We start from the raw sequence: 20,462 nt of genomic DNA, 5'->3' as shown, positions 1-20,462 counted from the left end.
CCTCATAGTATAGTTTGAAGTCAAGTAATGGGATGCCTCCAGATTAGTTCTTTTTCCTTAGTCTGCCTTTGGCTATGTGGGCTCTTTTTTGGTTCCATGTTAATTTTAGGATTTTTTTTCTAGTTCTGTGAAGAATGTTGGTGGCATTTTGATGGGAACCATATTGAATTTGTAGATTGCTTTTGGCAGTACGGTCATTTTCACAATATGATTCTACCCACCCATGAGCATGGGATGTGTTTCCATTTGTTTGTGTCATCTATGATTTCTTTCATCAGTGTTTTGTAATTTTCCTTGTACAGGTCTTTTACCTCCTTGGTTAGGTGTATACCTAAGTTTTGCTTTTAGTTTTGCAGATATTGGAAAAAGGGTTAAGTTCTTGATTTGATTATCAGCTCGATCGCTGTTTGAGTATCTATGAGGCAAGAGATTCCTAGAGAGTTTTTTAATTCTGAAGAATATAATTTTTAGGTAATGGCTCATTAGTTGATAATTAATGTGAAAATAGGATCATTTGTTCACCAGGGCAACTGGTGCTGAAACAACTGCCTAAAATTTGGCCAAATTTGTTGTTTTGGGGTGTCATTCTTTATTAAGGACACCCTGGCTGAGGAGTGGAAAACAGTCACATTGCACAAAGTTCCATGATGCAAGATGCTTACAGTGCCATTTACACAGTCTACAAACTCCCATTACTATTTACTCAGTTAATCCCATGAACATTTCCAGGCAGTCAAAGGGTCTAGGGGTGATATGGTTTAACTGTGTCACCCGAATCTCATCTCGAATTGTAGCTCCCATAATCCCATGTGTCACAGCAGGGACCCAGCAAGGTGTAATTGAATCATGGGGTCATGTTTTTTCATGCTGTTTTCATGATAGTGAATAAGTCCCATGATATCTGATAGTTTTATAAAGGGCAGTTCCCCTGCACACACTCTCTTGCCTGCCGTGATGTAAGACATGCCTTTGCTCCTCCTTCACCTTCTGCTGTGATTGTGAGGCCTCCCAGCCATGTGAAACTGTGAGTCCATTGAGCCTCTTTTTCTTTATAAATTAACCAGTCTGGGGTATTTCTTCATAGCATATGAAAAATAGACTAATATAGCGGAATGGATGACCTCCTCCAGTACACTAGCACCTGGCAAAACACTGAGGACAGAAGGCCACCGTCTCCCACAGGTGGAATGTACCAGAGACCCAGGTTTGGCTTCGTACTGTCTTAGGGAGCCCTCGGTAGCCTTGCCAAGTTTGTGGGGTGCTGTTTCCCAAACCATAACTGGAGCTGGGTATGGAGAAGCACAGGTTCAGGATCTGTGAGAGCCTCTGCTTCCAGGAGGTCCCAGCAGATAGTCAATCATTTGTTGTTTTAATAGTGAGTGATGCAGGCCAAGAGGGGCAGTTCTTTGTTTATTTTATTTTGTTTTTTGTTTCATCGGAAGCTGTGAGGCAATTGATGACCATCATAAGTGGTTTAGAAACTCCAGAAGATGTATGAAGAAGTTGTCAAAGCCTTTACAGTGAAGATGTTTCTGACTTCACTCACAGAAGTGCCTGCTGATTTTAATTTGTAAGTAAATTTTGTAAATGAGGATGTGTTACCATCAGAACCCAAAAAGTGCTAAGAGATACTAGACTTCTATGTCTTTAAGGAGTGTGTCACATGAGTCTCCTTGGAGGAGGATGTACTCAAAGTAATGTCACACCTGTGTTCCTGGAGAAAGGTGAATATCCTCAAAATCTTGTCTGCAAAGATTGCATGGAATGACAAAGTTATGGAGATACCCCATGGGTATCCTGGAAAAGGTGTCCCTTTAGAGGTCAAGGCAAACTTTGACCTGAGAGGATGTTGAAATAGGAACTGAACAGTACATGAAAGGCAATCAATAAGAGCAAATATTTACTGGTTATTGCTTAAATAGAAGCAGTCAGTTTAATGAAATTGGACATTAAATATGAAAGCCTTGATGGATAGGATCATGACATTAAGCCTGCGTTAATCCATAGTGAGATATCTTTTATTTTATGTTTTCAGATTTAAGAACAGGCAAAATTGGGCTGCCAAATGGAGAAGCAGAGGAGAAAATCAGTCTTTTATTAATTAGCTTTTATATAATAAATTTGAATCCTTGAGGCCCTGTATTAATTTACATTGGGTCAGATTAACTATTTTAACTGGGGATTGAAGGGGTCCCCTTTTATCAAGCCAATTTATGTCAAAGGCTAAATTTATTATTTATTATGTTAGAGTATTTATGTTGAATATGGAATATTTTAAGGCAGTGGATTCTATGACTATGAGAAATTTAAACAAGGATACAGGTTTTTTCTAACTTTTAAGTTCGGGGGTACAAGTGCTGGTTTGTTACATAGATAAACTTGTATCATGGGACTATATCGGACAGATTATTTCATCACCTAGGTATTAAGCCTAGTACTCATTAGTTTTTTTTCTTGATTCTCTTCCACCTTTGGCCCTCCATCCTCCAAAAGGCCCCAGTGTGTGTAATTCCCCTCTACACATCCATGTGTTCCATCATTTAGCTCCCATTTATAAGTGAGAACATGCAGCATTTGGTTTTCTTTTCCTGTGTTATTATGCTAAGGATAATGGCCTCCAGCTCCATCCATGTCCCTCAAAAGGACATAATCTCATTCTTTTTTATGGCTGCTTAGTATTCCATGGTGTATATGTACCACATTTTCTTTATCCAGCCCACCATTAGTGAACATTTAGGTTGATTCCATGTCTTTGCTATTGTGAATAGTGCTGCAATGAACATACACGTGCATGTGTCTTTTTAATTGAATGATTTATATTCCTTTGGGTATATACCCAGTAATGGGATTGCTGGGTTGAATGGTATTTCTTTCTTTAGATCTTTGAGGAATTGCCACACTGTCTTTCACACTGGCTGAACTAATTTACACTCCCACCGATAGAGTATGAGCATTCGTTTTTCTCCACAACCTCACCAGCATGTTTGTTTGTTTTTACTTTTTAATAATAGCTGTTCTGACTGGCGTGAGATGGTATCTCATTGTGGTTTTGGTTTGCATTTCTCTAACAACCAGTAATGTGGGGCTCTTTTTCATATGATTGTTGGCTGCAGCTATGGCTTCTTTTCAAAAGTGTCTGTTCATGTCCTTTGCCCACTTTTCTATGGGGTTATTTATTTGTTTCTTGTAAACTTGTTAAGTTCCTTGTAGAGGCTGGATATTAGACCTTTGTCAGATGCATACTTTGCATAATTTTTCTCCCAGCCTGTTTACTCTGTTGATAGTTTGTGTTGCTGTGCAGCAGCTCTTTAGTATAATTTGATTCCATTTGTCAATTTTTGTCTTGTTTAAATTGCTTTTGGCATCATCATGAAATCTTTGCCCATGCCTACTTCTTGAGTGGTATTTCCTAGGTTTTCTTCCAGGGTTTTTACAGTTTTGAGTTTTACACCTAAGTCTTTAATCCATCTTGAGTTAATTTTTGTATATGGTGTAAGGAAAGGGTCCAGTTTCAGTCTTCTGCATATGGCTAGCCAATTCTGCCAGCAACATTTTTTGAATATGGAATCCTTTCCCCACTGCTAAAGTGAGGCAAACTCATTTTTCTTTATATATATTTAAGTATCTTCTCAAGATTATAGGAGCAGAGTGTTTAAATTTAGTGGAATCCTGGTGTATCATTGTAATTTGAGTCCCAGGGTTGATTAAGCTTGTGAAGTTCTGCCAATTGATGCATTTTAACAAATGTTAAAGTTAAGTTAAAGTCTATGTTATAGAGGCACAAAAGCCAATCAGTGTCTTTTTTAAATCATTTTGTTATATAAGTCCTTTAGTATAGAAATTTAGTATATAAATTTTGGATTTCTAATTGAGTCAAATTATGGAAGTTTGTTTTAACTTATTATATAAAATATACACATATACTTCATTTATCTATTTATTGTATTATGTATGTATATGTAATTTATTTAATTAGCTTTTATTTCCCCCCTGTATCTAGGGGCTTGTTTCTAAATCAGTAAGTAATATAGGGCTAATATCATGTTTGGTAGACCTGGTGTTTACTCAGGACTTAAGTTTAAAGTTCTTTTACTTATTTTTCAGATTCGTAGCCACCTACAGCTTTTTCCTTTTGTGCTGTAGTTTTGTTTGTTGTTTTTGTTTTTAGACTTTTAGTCTTCTGAAGTCGTGGCTCTTAGTTTTAATTTCTGATTTAAAAAAAGAGAGAGAGACAGGGTGCTGGTCCATCTAAGCAGTAGTCTCTCTCTTGAATCACCCCAGACTGCAAGATAATCATTACCTCCCTCCCACATAGGGACCTTGCTTTTTCTTTTAAGTAAATATTTAGAATAACTAGGCGCTAAAAAGTTTTTTTTTTTTTTTGAGACAGAATTTATTTTACTCTGTTGCCCAGGCTGGAGTGCAATGGCATGATCTTGGCTCACTGCAAACTCCGCCTCCCAGGTTCAAGCAATTCTCATGCCTCAGCCTCACAAGTACTTGGGATTACAGGCATGTGCCACCACACCTGGCTAGTTTTTGTATTTTTAGTAGAGACAGGGTTTCACCATGTTGGTCAGGCTGGTCTCAAACTCCCGACCTCAGGTGATCCACCCACCTCGGCCTCCTAAAGTGCTTGGGATTACAGGCAGGAGCCACTGCACCCAGCCTAAAAAGAATGTGTTCCCTCGCTCTCTCAATGTTTATGTGACAAGCTTCTGGTGGCTGTGAGTGGCCTCCCTTGTGAGCCTTGGCTTTCATTAGTGGTTCTCTTCAGCCCCATTTACTGACAGCCACCTCCTTCTTTTTTTTTTTTTTTAGGTCATGAGTTTATTGTCCAGTAGTCGGGCAGGCTTGTGCCTTTCCTTATTTGTCAGATTCTTTCATTTGCTGATTCTGTTTAAGCTCAAGGGTCAGTCACTGTGAAATGAATTTGCACCTCGTTTTCTCTTTAGGCTCCAAGACTCCCAAGAACTCCAGGGCTCCCACTTTCCCCATTCTGTGGGACTCCTTAGGGCCCAGAAGAGTGTGCTGTGCAAAGTTGGCTTTTAGAAAACTGGCTAGCTAGCTTGCTGGCTCCTCCACTTTCCTCTCCAAAACTTCAGAATTCACCACTCACTGTCCTACCAGAAATCCCCTAGAATTTTAAGGTCATGCTTACTCACAAAGTCTTGAACCCTTCTAAACACACTTCCCAAGAGACTGACTTATCTGGAATCTCATCTCTATAGAGAAGCAGCCTCTTCATCTCCCTTCAACTATCTTCCCATACTTCTCTGAACAATTTTTCTTGTCCTGCCAATTCAGTGTGATTGAAAACCTGAAAACCACTTAGCAGAGAATCTGGGCTTACATAGTGCTTGCCTGTGCAGTTGGAGACAGAGGAGGGAGAAGGAAGCACCGCAAATACTGCATGCTGCAGATTCATCTACTCACAGATTCAGACCTAGGAAAACTGTAGAGAAGACCCTCAACTCAGTGTCCATTCCAGAGAAGGGGGAAGATGGAGGAAAATGTTTCAAGATGAAAGGGCCCAATGCAGAGGATGCCCTGCTTTTGAAAAAGCTACAAGATGAGGATCCACATATAGCCTGCTGGAATTCCTTTTAGTCTGTTTCCTGATACCTGGTACCCAAGTGCAAATTATGACGTCCTAGTCTGCTGCATAAATGTCTGTACTGAACATCTTCCTTGTAGGGGAGGAAGGATCCCTTGGTTCAGTGTACTTTTTCCATCATAATGAGCATACCAGAGTCAAAATGGGAGCCCAGTGGCCTTCATGACCAAAAAGGTCCCTGGGATTGAGACCACCCTGCCTTCCACCTGAGAAGGAGTTTAGCCCTGTTCACCCTGCTTCTCTGTTCCTCACACTAATAGACTCCCAAGCAGAAACTGTATGGTTGTGAGTTATTGTGAAAACAAAAGTGTGAATCATTGTCTTTTATAGTTGTTGATTTTGTCCAGTAAACCCGAGGTAAAGAACACTCTGTCTCTGATGAATGTGATCAGAGGAAAAAGAGAAAAGAAAAAACAACAACCATGAATATGCAACCAGAAGAAGACAAACTACAGAAGGGTTTTTCCAATATGAAGAACTCTTATCTCAACCATCTATTTCAGGACTTGGAGTTTAAGCAATAAAATAATATACTATAAAAATGTTTACAAAATAGCAGTACACTCCGTGAAACACATGAATAAAACAAAATGAAAAATAAGAGACTCTTAAATTTTTTTCCATCTTCAACCTTCGCACTCTGAAACAAGAAATAATCTGTGTATAAAATAATTCTTCAAAGTAGCCCCATTCTGATTTTTCTTTTTTACTTAAAAAGGCAAATATTTTAACAAATGGCTTCATTACCTGTTCGATTACAATTGTGAAAAAAAAAAAAAAAGAGTTGTTGCTCCAACCTCTTTACTAACTGAATGCCTCTATCGCAAGGACAAAAAACCAAACACCGCATGTTCTCTCGCATAGGTGGGAATTGAACAATGAGAACACATGGACACAGGAAGGGGAACATCACACACTGGGGCCAGTTGTGGGGTGGGGGGAGGGGGGAGGGATAGCATTAGGAGATCTACCTAATGTTAAATGACGAGTTAATGGGTGCAGCACACCAACATGGCACATGTATACATATGTAACAAACCTGCATGTTGTGCACATGTACCCTAAAACTTAAAGTATAATAAAATAAATAAATAAAAAAATAACAATAAAAAAGAAAAAAGAACAGAAGAGGAAAAAAAATTCATGTACACTGAATACAACTTTGCAATAAAATTACCAAAAACAAAAAAGGAAAAGGAAACAAAATGCCACCCCCTGATGTTCAGCCATCTGTCTTTGCACCCGCAATAACTTTACTTTCCATGTCCAAAGAAGTATAAAGATGTAAAATTAGGTATTTAAAGAAATAAAATGAAGATCCTCTGTGTCATCAGAATGGTAACAGATCTTTGTTTTTAGGCTTTTCTGAGGAATGTTGTGATGGGGATGTCAGCAGAAAGAGGTGTCTCTTGTGTCCTGGTAGGAACACCAGAAATGTGTACCCAAGAATGTCAGATACCAGAGGTGAAGAGTAACCCAGATGGAGGCAGGGAGGGAGGGGGCAAGAGAGAAGAGGGGAGGAGTATTCAGCATGACTTGCATAAACCATGCCATCTATTGCTAGGGAAAAATTTTTCAAAGTGCTTTTCGAATGGAATGGTTTAGAACAATGCTAACCTGTGGAGCAGACATGCCAATCAGCACCAAAAATTAGTTTTTCCTAAGAAGGAATGCCAAGGTCACGTTACCCTTTTTAATACAATAAGAGAAAAGATTCCATTCTGGATGCCACCCCAGGTCTCCATCTGCCTCCATTTCATGTGAGTTTTGGTTACAGCCCATAGCTACATTTCCCCCATTAGATAGCAATACTGTGGTGTCCGCAATGAACTGCATTTGGAAGAAGCAAGATGTCACAGGACAAGAAATCCAGAAGCCAATCACCTGTGTCCAACTGGCAAAATAAAACATCTTATTTAGGTAGCAGCTAATGTAGACAGCAAGAGTACCCAACATAGAGATCCAACCACACTTCTGACTTAGTAACAGGTGGCTGAGAGTAAAGGTGCTTCTCCGTCCCAAATGGTTCAATCATGTTGAGAGATTGTTTTGTACTCCTTCCCCATCAAGTCCTTCCTTATTTCCAATTCCTTCTTGAGTTCATTGCTTTATAATCTAATCATGCCATAAATGGCATACACAGTTCCTTGAAATTATACTACAAGGGGGTGTATGTGCTAGCTCACAACATGAAAAAAAAAAGTCTCCTCTAATTTGTTTCCATATTGCAGACATACATATTCTCTAACTACCCTGCAGGTTTTCCTGCAAGCATTTTACCATTACTTTTACATAATCAAACAATAACTGTTCGAATATACGAGGGATTCCCTTATGCTGTACTTCAAATAAGCACCAAAGGCTTTTTCTTATTCTGTTTTTATAGGACTATTTTCTGTCACTTCTAAAAGATCTTTAAACACGAACTATGTGGGGGCAGAGGTTTTTTTTTTTAAGTTTCGCCCTAAGATACAAAGAACAAAACATAACCAGAAAGAAGGAGACAGCAGATTATGAATGCGCCTCTCAGCTGGACTGCCATCCTCACAGGTCGATATCTCACAGGTCTATAGGGGTGCTGGCTTGGCCCAGTTCATCCTCTGACTTGGATCTGTCCTGCTGGTCCTGATGGCACTGCTGCAGGCTGTTGAGGAAGACCACCTCAATATGCTCCCGGTTGGCTTTTGAGACAATCCACATCTGTGTTGGTGATCTTTGCCAGCAGCTCAGTCAGGGCATTGCAAGGGAGTGAGCTCACTTCCTCATGTTGCTGAAGTCCACAGATAGCTGCTCCTACACTTCCAGTTGCAACCATTGATGGCGGGTACATTGCATACAGAGCATTGAAGTTCTGGACTTGCTTGCAGATTGGAGACAGCTTCTCCCGCTGCTGGGGCAGCTTGTGCAAGATGTACTAAATGAAGTCATGAGGCGTGACAGCTGCCAGGTTCCACTTCAACTTTCCCAACACCACCAGTTCCCACTCCAGCAGCTCCTGAGGCTTGATGGAGTTGTCGGTATAAATGCACAGCTTTTTGGCAGTCAGTGGGCTGGACTCTTTGAGCCTGGAGGCCAGGAACATGCAGACAGCACCCAGGAGTTGCAGATGGGACTTTGAAGTTGGGATCCTGGCGAAGAAACAGTCCAGGTAAATCGTGGCCAGAGGGAAAACCTTTTCTTCACACTTCTGTTCCTCACAGACCTCCAGCATTAGTTAACAGGTGGCTGAGAGTAAAGGTGCTTTTCCATCCCAAATGGTTCAATCATGTTGGCCACCATCAGAAGTGGCCACCAATCAAATGGCCACCATCAGAAGTGGCCACCATCCTGTGCATGTACGGCTGGATGGCCTTCTGCACACACTTGAAGTAGGAGCATTACTGAAGGTAGCGCTTCTTGATAGCAAGCAGGTTCTTCAGGACACGGTCAACTTGGAGTAGGTTGCAGTCCCTCGTGGCTCTGAGGACCGGGTCTACCTCACAGCCCAGCAGCTGCATGGCCAGCTCTGTGACCCCTCACTCCCCTGCTTTCTCTGGACTGGAAAAGTGTGTTTGTTTTTGTTTTTGTTTTGGAGGGGGAAGGCAAAAGCATTCCCCTCATCTCCTTCCTTTGGCTCAATAGGGGGTTTTCAGAGGAGAGGTGAGGGCAGAGACAGAAGGTGGAGGAGAAGAGAGGTGAGGATTGGGCAGTGGGCGAGCAGAGCTTCCCTGCCTGCCTCGCTCACATCTCTCCTCCCCTTCGAACTCCACCTCCTTCTTTAGTGTGTCCCAAGGAACCTTATTTGGGTTGGGGCCAAAGAGCAATAGAAACGAGGGAAGGCAGCAACATAGGGATCACAGTCTATGAGGGTTAATATTGAGTGTCAACTTGATCAGATTGAAGGATGCACAAAGTATTGTACCTGGGTGTGTCTGTGAGGGTGTTGCCAAAGGAGATTAACATTTGAGTCAGTGGACTGGGAGAGGCAGACCCACCCTCCAGCTGGCTATATCACAATCACACAGGAAGAGGAAGTTTTAACTAGGCTGAAGTGATGGGGTATAGCTGAGTTTCAAATAACTTATGTCAGACCTAAAAAGGCATGCCAAGGAAGCAACGATATTAAACAAGTCTACTAAATATGACACTATTCTTAGATGGGAAAACAGGAGTCATGCAAGTGTTATTGCTGTATAGCAGTTCTGAAATCCAGCTGGGCAAATATCGAGTGCCCCTTGATAAAGACGCTATCCTACTCCTGCCAATGAGTTATTCTATACAGTTGTTGGTTCTGACATCTGGTCTCTGGGTTCTGCCTAAGAGACATCCTTCCTTTTATATTAAAGTTAGTATGTGGTTTTCGGTGTGTGGTTTTTTCCACCTGCTCTCTGAAAGTAGAATCCAGGGGTGGAGGGGGAGGTAAATAGCACCATTTCATTTTGTACATTCTCTGTTAGTTTCTGTCCCAACTAGCAGTGTTTCTGCCCATGTAATTCTATTAAACTTTTTCTTGGTCTCTTGTGACTCTTACTGGAATCTGCTCCATTAGACAAAAGCCACACCCAAAATATCTCCATTCATATAGATGGACTATGATATTCTGCTGAGAGGTAATGACATTAAGATTCTTAGAAACCTCATTTCTGTTTGACAGAGTTTGAATGTAATATCCTTAACCATCTTTAGAGAGCTTTTTGTCTGGGCTACAATCTCAGTTTATTGTCAGTACTTAACAAAAGGCCATTTAAGCTGCACAGTCTGGTGGTTCAGAGACCCTGTTGCCCACCAATGTTGTGCCTCACCTCAGTGCATACCCTCAGGTGCTTGGGTGTCTGTTGTGATCAGATGACAGAAGAAAATAGCCTTTCTAGGTTCAGATATAGAATGACTTGGTATATGGGAAAAGTAAAACTTAGTGAAGTAATGCTTCCCTCTGGGGGCCTTGATAGTCACTGATGACTGTTAACCCTCTCAATGCATTGAGCTTCAAGTAATACAACTGATTATCTACTTTGTGTATAAATAAGATAATCCTGAGGTAAGAATACAGAGACTAGGAGCTCCAGATGACTTTGTTTGATGGACTGGACCTATAAACAGAAAGATTGGATAATAGGAAGGAAAGAGGTCTGGGAAAGAGGCATGGGGATGCACCTGTGGAGTGGGCATGAGGTGTGAAGGTCTTTCTATTACATGGAACACCGTGGAAGAAGGAGAGAAGCACTAACCAATCAAATATCCATAATGACAGAGTTGAAGTCCACCAGGCTCTGTCATTAGCCTCTCCAATGCAAGCAAACAGGGTTCCTTCTGTGGCTCAATTCCAGACTTTTCTGAAGGGCCATTCCAGGTTCACATCTCCCCATGGAATGGCTTCAGGCCTGTTTTGCAACTATATTATGGTTCAACAATTAGCTCCAATCAATCATATTTCATCATGCACTTACATAAGAGCATGCCTTAGTAAACCCCTTGCACACACATTTCTGCCTCAGAATTTCTTTCCCAACCAAGACAAATACTAATATTTTCATGTGCCTGCAGTTAAACATGACAAGATAGCATGAATGTTGTTTCTGCATTTTGAGCTAAAGCCATATCAAGTCAGTCAATGCTACAAATTTTTTTTTATGGTCTCATTGTGTAAGTTAGTAGAATTGACTAGATTTGTGCTGGCTTGTTTGGAATGAGTAAAAGTAAATAGTCAAAGGATAAAGTGCTAATTTACTAGTTGCATAACAGGTTGGATGGGAGTACCATTTACACAGACAGGCCTTGCTCTCACAGGAGATGACAACCCCATGCATGTTACTGCTCCAGAAGACCTTCTAGTGAGACAAGATGTGAAGATGGAAAATGGTGATATTAATGATTATGACCTTGTGTAGGCTTAGGCCAATGTGAGAGTTTGGTCTTTATTTTTAACAAAAAAATTTAAAAAGCAAAAAATAAACTTAATAGAAAAGCTTATAGAATGAACAAGGATATAAAAAAATTCTTGTACAGCTGTGCAACATGTTTATATTTTAAGTGTTATTACAAAAGAGTCAAAAGTTTTTTAAAAACTAAAAAGTTTATAAAGTTACAAAATTACAGTAAGCCTAGGTTAATTTATTATTGAAGAAAGGAAAATGTTTGTTTATATATTTAGTGCAGCCCAAGTGTACAGTGTTTATAAGGTATATCTTATGATTTAAACTTGAAACAGATTTCATTATAATCTGTTGGAATTAACACAACAAAAACATTTTTCTTTGACTCTAATGAAAATGACTAACTTCCAGATCCCCAAAAGTGCCTTCACATTCACTCACCACTCACACACTGACTCACCCAGAGCAACTTCCAGTACTGCAAGATCCATGCTTGGCAAAACCCTATAAAGTGTAATTTTTTTATCTTTTATCTTTTATTTTTACTCTAACTTTTCTATGTTTAGATACGTTTAGGTACACAAGCACCAATGTATTATAATTGCCTACAGTATTCAGTGAAGTAACATACTGTACAGGTTTGCAGGATATGAGCAATAGGCTATACCATATAGCCTAGGTGTGCATTAGACTACACCATATAGGTTTGCGTAAGTACACTCCATGATGTTCACACAACAAAATCACATAATAATGCATTTCTCAGAGCATATTCCTGTTGTTTTGAGATGCATGACTGTGAACATTTTATATCAGAGTGTGAATATTTAAGTACCTATCCCTTACTCACTATAAGAACCTTGAAGACCTTATCTTGCACTTATTGTATCCCTGGAACGAGCCCCGAAAAGTTTCTCACAAATGCAGTGTGAATAAATCAACAAGCCTAGAAAAATGAGCTTGCCATGGCTTACTCTGCCCTCCTTCACTACCCTGACTCTGCCCTTTCTGAAAAACTTATGTTTGAAATGAGTTTCTGCTGTGATTTCACCTGAAGCAGAGAGCTGTTAAAGGGGAAGGACTGTACCATGTTTAAATTGCTCTAATTAGCTCACACTAACTCTTTAAGCCCAAATTCAATACTGAACAAGAAAAGCACTTACTTTCAGTACTTTCACAGGAAGATTTCTAAAAGTGCATCCCTTTTGATTGTCACAAATTACACATTCTGGAAAAGACTGCTAACAATATAGCATGTTTATTTTACTGTATTTACAGAAAATGTGGAGATCAAAGGTTGATGCTTTTGTGAGGTGCTGCTGATAACATAAATTTTCACAAAGTAGAACTTTAAACAGATTTCATTGACAACTGTTGGAGTATCCAAGCAAAATATTTTTCTTTGACTTTAATAAAAATTGCTATCTAATCCCCAAATGATAATAAGATGTGTAACCTTCCATGGTCCTGCTGCAAATGTGATGCAGGGCCTATTAAAAGAAAGTGGATCAACATACACTCAATGGGACTTCAGGAAAGGAAACATTTTTTCTCTTTGAACTTATCTGAATACAGTCATTTTGCCTCCTTTTAGGGATAATCTCTTCAGCCTCAATGGTATTTCAGGACTTCTTGGATCAAGTTGGTGGCTTGGGGAGATTTCAGATCCTTCAGATGGTTTTTCTTATCATCTCCACCTTTATAGTTTGCCCTCGTGTTGTATGGAGAATTTCACTGCATTCATCCTGGTCACCACTGCTAGGTGCACATCATAGACAATGTCATCGTCTTGGACGAAGAAACTGTGATCCTCAGCCAAGATGCCCTCCTGAGAATCTCTATCTCACTGGACTCAAACCTGAGGCCACAGAAACGTTGTCACTTCATCCATCCCCAGTGGCAGCTCCTTCACCTGAATGGGACATTCCTCAATATGAATGAACCAGACATGGAACCGTGTGTGGACAGCAGGGTGTACAACAGAAGCTCCTTCCTCTCCACCATCGTGACTGGGTAAGAGGCCCCAATTTCCTCCTACATACACAACTACAGTGTTTACAAATAACACAAGTAATTAACATGCTACCAGCATTTTGTCACATGTAGGTGCTTATTCTTCATTCTTTCAGCAAATATTAATTGCTTCTCTGTTAAATACCAGACCCCTATGCATTTTATAAGTCTAGTGATTTCAAAAGTAGACATGTACACTGCTATCATAGTGCTTTCATTCTTGGGAAGACCAAAGTTTAGGCAAGTATTTCATGTATTTTGTTATAAATTGTATGCCGAATCAGTAAGGCTCAGCCTGTGGTTGCAATTAAAAATACTGGGAGGTTGATCAAAACCCCCATGCCCAGACTGTACACCCAGAGTGGTCATAGGAGAAGGTCTGCAGTGATAATCACGAATCATTAAATTTTTTAAGGTTCACAAATGATTGCACTCTATGGCAAAATTTGAGAACCACACTTAGTATGGAGCAAAAGTGGTTGTTAATATAACCTACAGTTTTAGAGGCAGCTTCCTAGAGAAAGTTGTTGAAGCTGAGACCTGAATGATAAAGGTCAAATAGTAAAGAAAAGGGAGGCTACAGAGGAAGATAGAGGCCTGCTGTAATGAAACATTCAGGTCATGTTCAGGAGTTTTGATCAGGTTCCTCTGAGGCGTTTTAAGTTGCTATAAAACTCTACGATGCTGGTTTTTATTTCTTCTAGTGGGACCTGGTATGTGGATCTCAGTCACTGAATTTAGTGGCTACATTCTTATTCATGGAGTGGTGGTGAAAGGCATCCAATATGGCCATTTATCAGACAGATGAGCATCTCTGTTCAAAGATCACTATACTAGTGAGTATTTCCATCCACTGATTAAATATTTATTCATTGAGAAATATTTATTGCAAATCACACTGTCCTGGGGCTACCTTGGTCTTCAGGGATCTAGAAACACAAATGGAGTACTACAATCTGTGTGGTGAGGGCTATCCTGTCAGCACTGAGTGTTGTGTACAAGACACAGAAATGACATCTCCATTAAGCCTGACAGGTCAGGGTTTGGAAATCTGGTGCCACAACATGTGATTTAGAAATATGAGAACAGTTACTGTCTTAGTCCATGTTCTGCTGCTATAACAGAAGGTCACAGGATAGGTAATTTATTCACAATAGAAGTTTATTTGGTTCATGTTTATGGAGGCTTGGAAGTCCAAGAGTTTGGCATCAGCATCTGATGAGTAACTTTGTGCTGTATCATCTCACAGCAGAAGGTGGAAGGGCAAGCAAGGTCACAAGACAGAGAATGGGGGCTGGATTTCATCCTATCATCAGGATCCCCTCCTGCAATAACCCACCTCCGCGATATCCACATGAACCTATTCACCTCTTAAAGGTCTCGTCTCTTTTTTTATTTCAACTTATATTTTATATACAGAGGGTATATGTGCAGGTTTGTTATGGGTATATTATACCCAGGCAGTGAGCACAGTACCCAACAGTGGGGTTTTTTCAACCTATACCTTTCCTCCCTCCTTCCTCCCTCTAGTAGTCCACAGTGTCTATTGTTCCCATGTTTATGTCCATGTGTGCTCAATGTTTAGCTCCGACTTACAAGTAAGAACATGCAATATTTGGTTTTCTGTTCCTGCACCACCTCTTAATACAATCACAATAGCAATTAAATTTCAACATGAGTTTAGGAACAGACATTGAAACCATAGAAGTTACCTATGAGAACTGAAAGACAGATATTTCATGACATGGAATTCAGCCTGTTTGAAAATGAAGATATGGAGAACAGTGTTCTATGCTGGATACAAGGGAGCCACAGCCCAGACAGGGGAACCGGTAGATAGTTAGAAGATGAAAGCATTAGGTAAGCTAAGTGTGAAGAAACAGAGATGCATATAGTTAATAAAAAGAAGAAGGGGGTGGAGCCAAGATGGCCAAATAGAAACAGCTCCAGTCTACAGCTCCCAGGGTCAGCGATGCAGAAGATGGGTGATTTCTGCATTTCCAACTGAGGTACTGGGTTCATCTCACTGGGGAGTGCCAGACAGTGGGTGCGGGACAGTGGGTGCAGGACAGTGGGTGCAGCACACCGTGCATGAGCCAAAGCAGGGTGAGGCATCACCTCACCCAGGAAGCACAAGGGGTCAGCGAATTCCCTTTCCTAGTCAAAGAAAGGGGTGACAGACGGCACCTGGAAAATTGGGTCACTCCCACCCTAATACTATGCTTTTCCAATGGGCTTCACAAACGGCACACCAGGAGATTATATCCCACACATGGCTTGGAGGTTCCTATGCCCATAGAGCCTCACTCATTGCTAGCACAGCAGTCTGAGATCAAACTGCAAGGTGGCAGCAAGGCTGGGGGAGGGGTGCCTGCCATTGCTCAGGCTTGAGTAGGTAAACAAAGCTGCCGGGAAGCTCGAACTGGGTGGAGCCCACCACATCTCAAGGAGGCCTGCCTGCTTCTGTAGGCTCCACCTCTGGGGGCAGGGCACAGACAAACAAAAGACAGCAGTAACCTCTGCAGACTTAAATGTCCCTGTCTGACAGCTTTGAAGAGAGTAGTGGTTCTCCCAGCACGCAGCTTGAGATCTGAGAACAGGCAGACTGCCTCCTCAAGTGGGTCCCTGAACACCAAGTAGCCTAACTGGGAGGCACCCCCCATTAGGGGTGGACTGACACCTCACACAGCTGGGTACTCCTCTGAGACAAAACTCCCAGAGGAATGATCAGGCAGCAGCATTTGCAGTTCACCAATATCTGCTGTTCTGCAGCCACCGCTGCTGATACCCAGGCAAACAGGCTCTGGGGTAGAGCTCCAGTAAACTCCCACAGACCTGCAGCTGAGGGTCTTGACTGTTAGAAGGAAAACTAACAAACAGAAAGGACATCCACACCAAAAACCCATCTGTACGTCACCATCATCAAAGACCAAAAGTAGATAAAACCACAAAGATGGGGAAAAAACAGAGCAGAAAAACCGGAAACTCTAAAAATCAGAGCACCTCTCCTCTCTAAAGGAACGCAGCTCCTCACCAGCAACAGAACAAAGCTGGACAGAGAATGACTTCAATGACTTGAGAGAGGAAGTCTTCAGAAGATCAAACTACTCTGAGCTAAAGGAGGAAGTTTAAACCAATGGCAAAGAAGTTAAAAACTTTGAAAAAAATTAGATGAATGGATAACTAGAATAACCAATGCAGAGAAGTCCTTAAAGGACCTGATGAAGCCGAAAACAATGGCACAAGAACTACGTGACAAATGCACAAGTCTCAGTAAACAATGCGATCAACTGGAAGAAAGGGTATGAGTGATGGAAGATCAAATGAATGAAATGTAGCGTGAAGAGAAGTTTAGAGAAAAAAAGAATAAAAACAAATGAACAAAGCCTCCAAGAAATATGGGACTATGTGAAAAGAACAAATCTACGTCTAACTGGTGTACCTGAAAGTGACGGGGAGAATGGAACCAAGTTGGAAAACACTCTGCAGGAAATTATCCAGGAGAACTTCCCCAATCTAGCAAGGCAGGCCAACATTCAAACTCAGGAAATACAGAGAATGCCACAAAGATACTCCTCAAGAAGAGCAACTCCAAGACACATAATTATCAGATTCACCAAAGTTGAAACGAAGAAATGAAGGAAAAAATGTTAAGGGCAGCCAGAGAGAAAGGTCAGGTTACCCACAGGGAAGCCCATTAGACTAACAGCTGATCTCTCAGCAGAAACTCTACAAGCCAGAAGAGAGGGGGGGCCAATATTCGACATTCTTCAAGAAAAGAATTTTCAACCCAGAATTTCATATCCAGCCAAACTAAGCTTCATTAGTGAAGGAGAAATGAAATAATTTACACACAAGCAAATGCTGAGAGAGTTTGTCACCACCAGGCATGCCCTAAAAGAGCTCCTGAAGGAAGCACTAAACATGGAAAGGAACAACCGGTACCAGCCACTGCAACAACATGCCAAATTGTAAAGACCATCAAGGCTAGGAACAAACTGCATCAACTAACAAGCAAAATAACCAGCTAACATCATAATGACAGGATCAAATTCACACATAACAATACTAACCTTAAATGTAAATGGGCTAAATGCTCCAATTGAAAGGCACAGACTGGCAAATTGGATAAAGAGTCAAGACCCATCAGTGTGCTGTATTCAGGAAACCCATGTCACTTGCAGAGACACACATAGGCTCAAAATAAAGGGATGGACGAAGATCTACCAAGCAAATGGAAAACAAAAAAAGGCAGGGGTTGCAATCCTAGTCTCTGATAAAACAGACTTTAAACCAACAAAGATCAAAAGGGACAAAGAAGGCCATTACATAATGGTAAAGGGATCAATTCAACAAGAAGAGCTAACTATCCTAAATATATATGTGCCCAATACAGGAGCACCCAGATTCATAAAGCTAGTCCTTAGAGACATACAAAGAGACTTAGACTCCCACACAATAATAATGGGAGACTTTAACACCCCACTGTCAACATTAGACAGATCAATGAGACAGAAAGTTAACAAGGATATCCAGGAACTAAACTCAGCTCTGCACCAAGCGGACCTAATAGACATCTACAGAACTCTCCACCCCAAATCAACAGAATATACATTCTTTTCAGCACCACACCACTCCTATTCCAAAAGTTGACCACATAGTTGGAAGTAAAGCTCTCCTCAGCAAATGTAAAAGAACAGAAATTATAACAAACTGTCTCTCAGGCCACAGTGCAATCAAACTAGAACTCAGGATTAAGAAACTCACTCAAAACTGCTCAACTACATGGAAACTGAAAAACCTGCTCCTGAATGACTACTGGGTACATAACGAAATGAAGGCAGAAATAAAGATGTTCTTTGAAACCAATGAGAACAAAGACACAACATACCAGAATCTCTGGGACACATTCAAAGCAGTGTGTAGAGGGAAATTTATAGCACTAAATGCCTACAAGAGAAAGCAGGAAAGATCTAAAATTGACACCCTAACATCACAATTAAAAGAACTAGAGAAGCAAGAGCAAACACATTCAAAACCTAGCAGAAGGCAAGAAATAACTAAGATCAGAGCAGAACTGAAGGAGATAGAGACACAAAAAACCCTTCAAAAAATCAATGAATCCAGGAGCTGGTTTTTTGAAAAGATCAACAAAATTGATAGACTGCTAGCAGGACTAATAAAGAACAAAAGAGAGAAAAATCAAGTAGATGCAATAAAAAATGACAAAGGGGATATCACCACCAATTCCACAGAAATAGAAACTACCATCAGACAATACTATAAACACCTCTACGCAAATAAACTAGAAAATCTAGAAGACATGGATAAATTCCTTGACACATACACCCGCCCAAGACTAAACCAGGAAGAAGTTGAATCTCTGAATAGCCTGAATAACAGGCTCTGAAATTGAGGCAATAATTTATAGCTTACCAACCAAAATAAGTCCAGGACCAGATGGGTTCACAGCCGAATTCTACCAGAGGTAAAAGGAGGAGCTGGTACCATTCCTTCTTAAAGTACTACAATCAATAGAAAAAGAGGGAATCCTCCCTAACTCATTTTATGAGGCCAGCATCATCCTGATACCAAAGCCAGGCAGAGACACAACAGAAAAAGAGAATTTTAGACCAATATCCTTGATGAACATTGATGCAAAAATCCTCAATAAAATACTGGCAAACCGAATCCAGCAGCACATCAAAAAGCTTATCCACCATGATCAAGTGGGCTTCATCCCTGGGATGCAAGGCTGGCTCAACATATGCAAATCAATAAAAGTAATCCAGCATAAAAACAGAACCAAAGACAAAAACCACATGATTATCTCAATAGATGCAGAAAAGGCCTTTGACAAAATGCAACAACACTTCATGCTAAAAACTCTCAATAAATTAGGTATTGATAGGACGAATCTCAAAATAATAAGAGCTATTTATGACAAACCCACAGTGAATAACACACTGAATGGGCAAAAACTGGAAGCATACCCTTTGAAAACTGGCACACTACAGGGGTGCCCTCTCTCACCACTCCTATTCAACATAGTGTTGGAAGTTCTGGCCAGGGCAATCAGGCAGGAGAAGGGAATAAAGGGAATTCAATTAGGAAAAGAGGAAGTCAAATTGTCCCTCTTTGCAGATGACATGATTGTATATCTAGAAAACCCCATCGTCTCAGCCCAAAATCTCCTTAAGCTGATAACCAATTTCAGCAAAGTATCAGGATACAAAATCAATGTGCAAAAATCACAAGCATTCTTATACACCAATAGCAGACAAACAGAGAGCCGAATCATGTGTGAATTCCCATTCACAATTGCTTCAAAGAGAATAAAATACCTAGGAATCCAACTTAAAAGGGATGTGAAGGACCTCTTCAAGGAGAACAACAAACCACTGCTCAATCAAATAAAAGAGGATACAAACAAATGGAAGAACATTCCATGCTCACGGGTAGGAAGAATCAATATCGTGAAAATGGCCATACTGCCCAAGGTCTTTTATAGATTCAATGCCATCCCCATCAAGCTACCAATGACTTTCTTCACACAATTGGAAAAAACTACTTTAAAGTTCATATGGAACCAAAAAAGAGCCCGCATTGCCAAGTCAATCCTAAGCCAAAAGAACAAAGCTGGAAGCATCACGCTACCTGACTTCAAACTATACTACAAGGCTACAGTAACCAAAACAGCATGGTACTGGTACCAAAACAGAGATATAGACCAACGGAACAGAACAGAGCCCTCAGAAATAATGCCACATATCTACAACTATCCGATCTTTGACAAACCTGACAAAAACAAGAAATGGGGAAAGGATTCCCTATTTAATAAATGGTGCTGGGAAAACTGGCTAGCCATATGTAGAAAGCTGAAACTGGATCCCTTCCTTATACCTTACACAAAAATTAATTCAAGATGGATTAAAGACTTAAATCTTTGACCTAAAACCATAAAAACCCTAGAAGAAAAA

The 20,462-nt window shown here is 40.6% G+C and overlaps 1 protein-coding gene, 1 long non-coding RNA gene and 1 pseudogene across 6 annotated transcripts in view; 2 read left to right on the top strand and 1 right to left on the bottom strand.

Annotated features, from left to right (window-relative positions):
* The first annotated feature begins 994 nt into the window (after window positions 1-994).
* LOC105369334 (uncharacterized) lies at window positions 995-6,504 on the top strand. Its single transcript, XR_950178.3, has 3 exons — window positions 995-1,204; window positions 1,443-1,570; window positions 4,956-6,504. It is a non-coding gene; the product is annotated as an uncharacterized LOC105369334 (long non-coding RNA).
* Window positions 6,505-7,961: 1,457 nt separating this feature from the next.
* Window positions 7,962-9,314, bottom strand: CCND2P1 (cyclin D2 pseudogene 1; annotated as a pseudogene).
* The window catches only part of SLC22A25 (solute carrier family 22 member 25), an 85,163-nt gene continuing 73,300 nt past the window's right edge, over window positions 8,600-20,462 (top strand). For 2 of the 5 annotated variants that reach the window (NM_199352.6, NM_001394058.1), the window contains exons 1-3: window positions 8,600-8,765; window positions 13,064-13,482; window positions 14,187-14,318. The gene's annotated coding sequence lies outside the window, so the exon portion shown is untranslated. Of the gene's footprint in view, window positions 8,766-13,063; window positions 13,483-14,186; window positions 14,860-20,462 lie in introns of all 5 variants that reach the window. The other 3 variants (XM_047426917.1, XM_017017695.2, NM_001394059.1) reach the window with 2 other exon arrangements.

Source organism: Homo sapiens, chromosome 11 (genome assembly GCF_000001405.40).
Source record: "Homo sapiens chromosome 11, GRCh38.p14 Primary Assembly".
NCBI classification, from domain to species: domain Eukaryota; kingdom Metazoa; phylum Chordata; class Mammalia; order Primates; family Hominidae; genus Homo; species Homo sapiens.
Note: the sequence above shows the minus strand (reverse complement) of the source record. Positions and strands in the feature narration are given on the sequence as shown.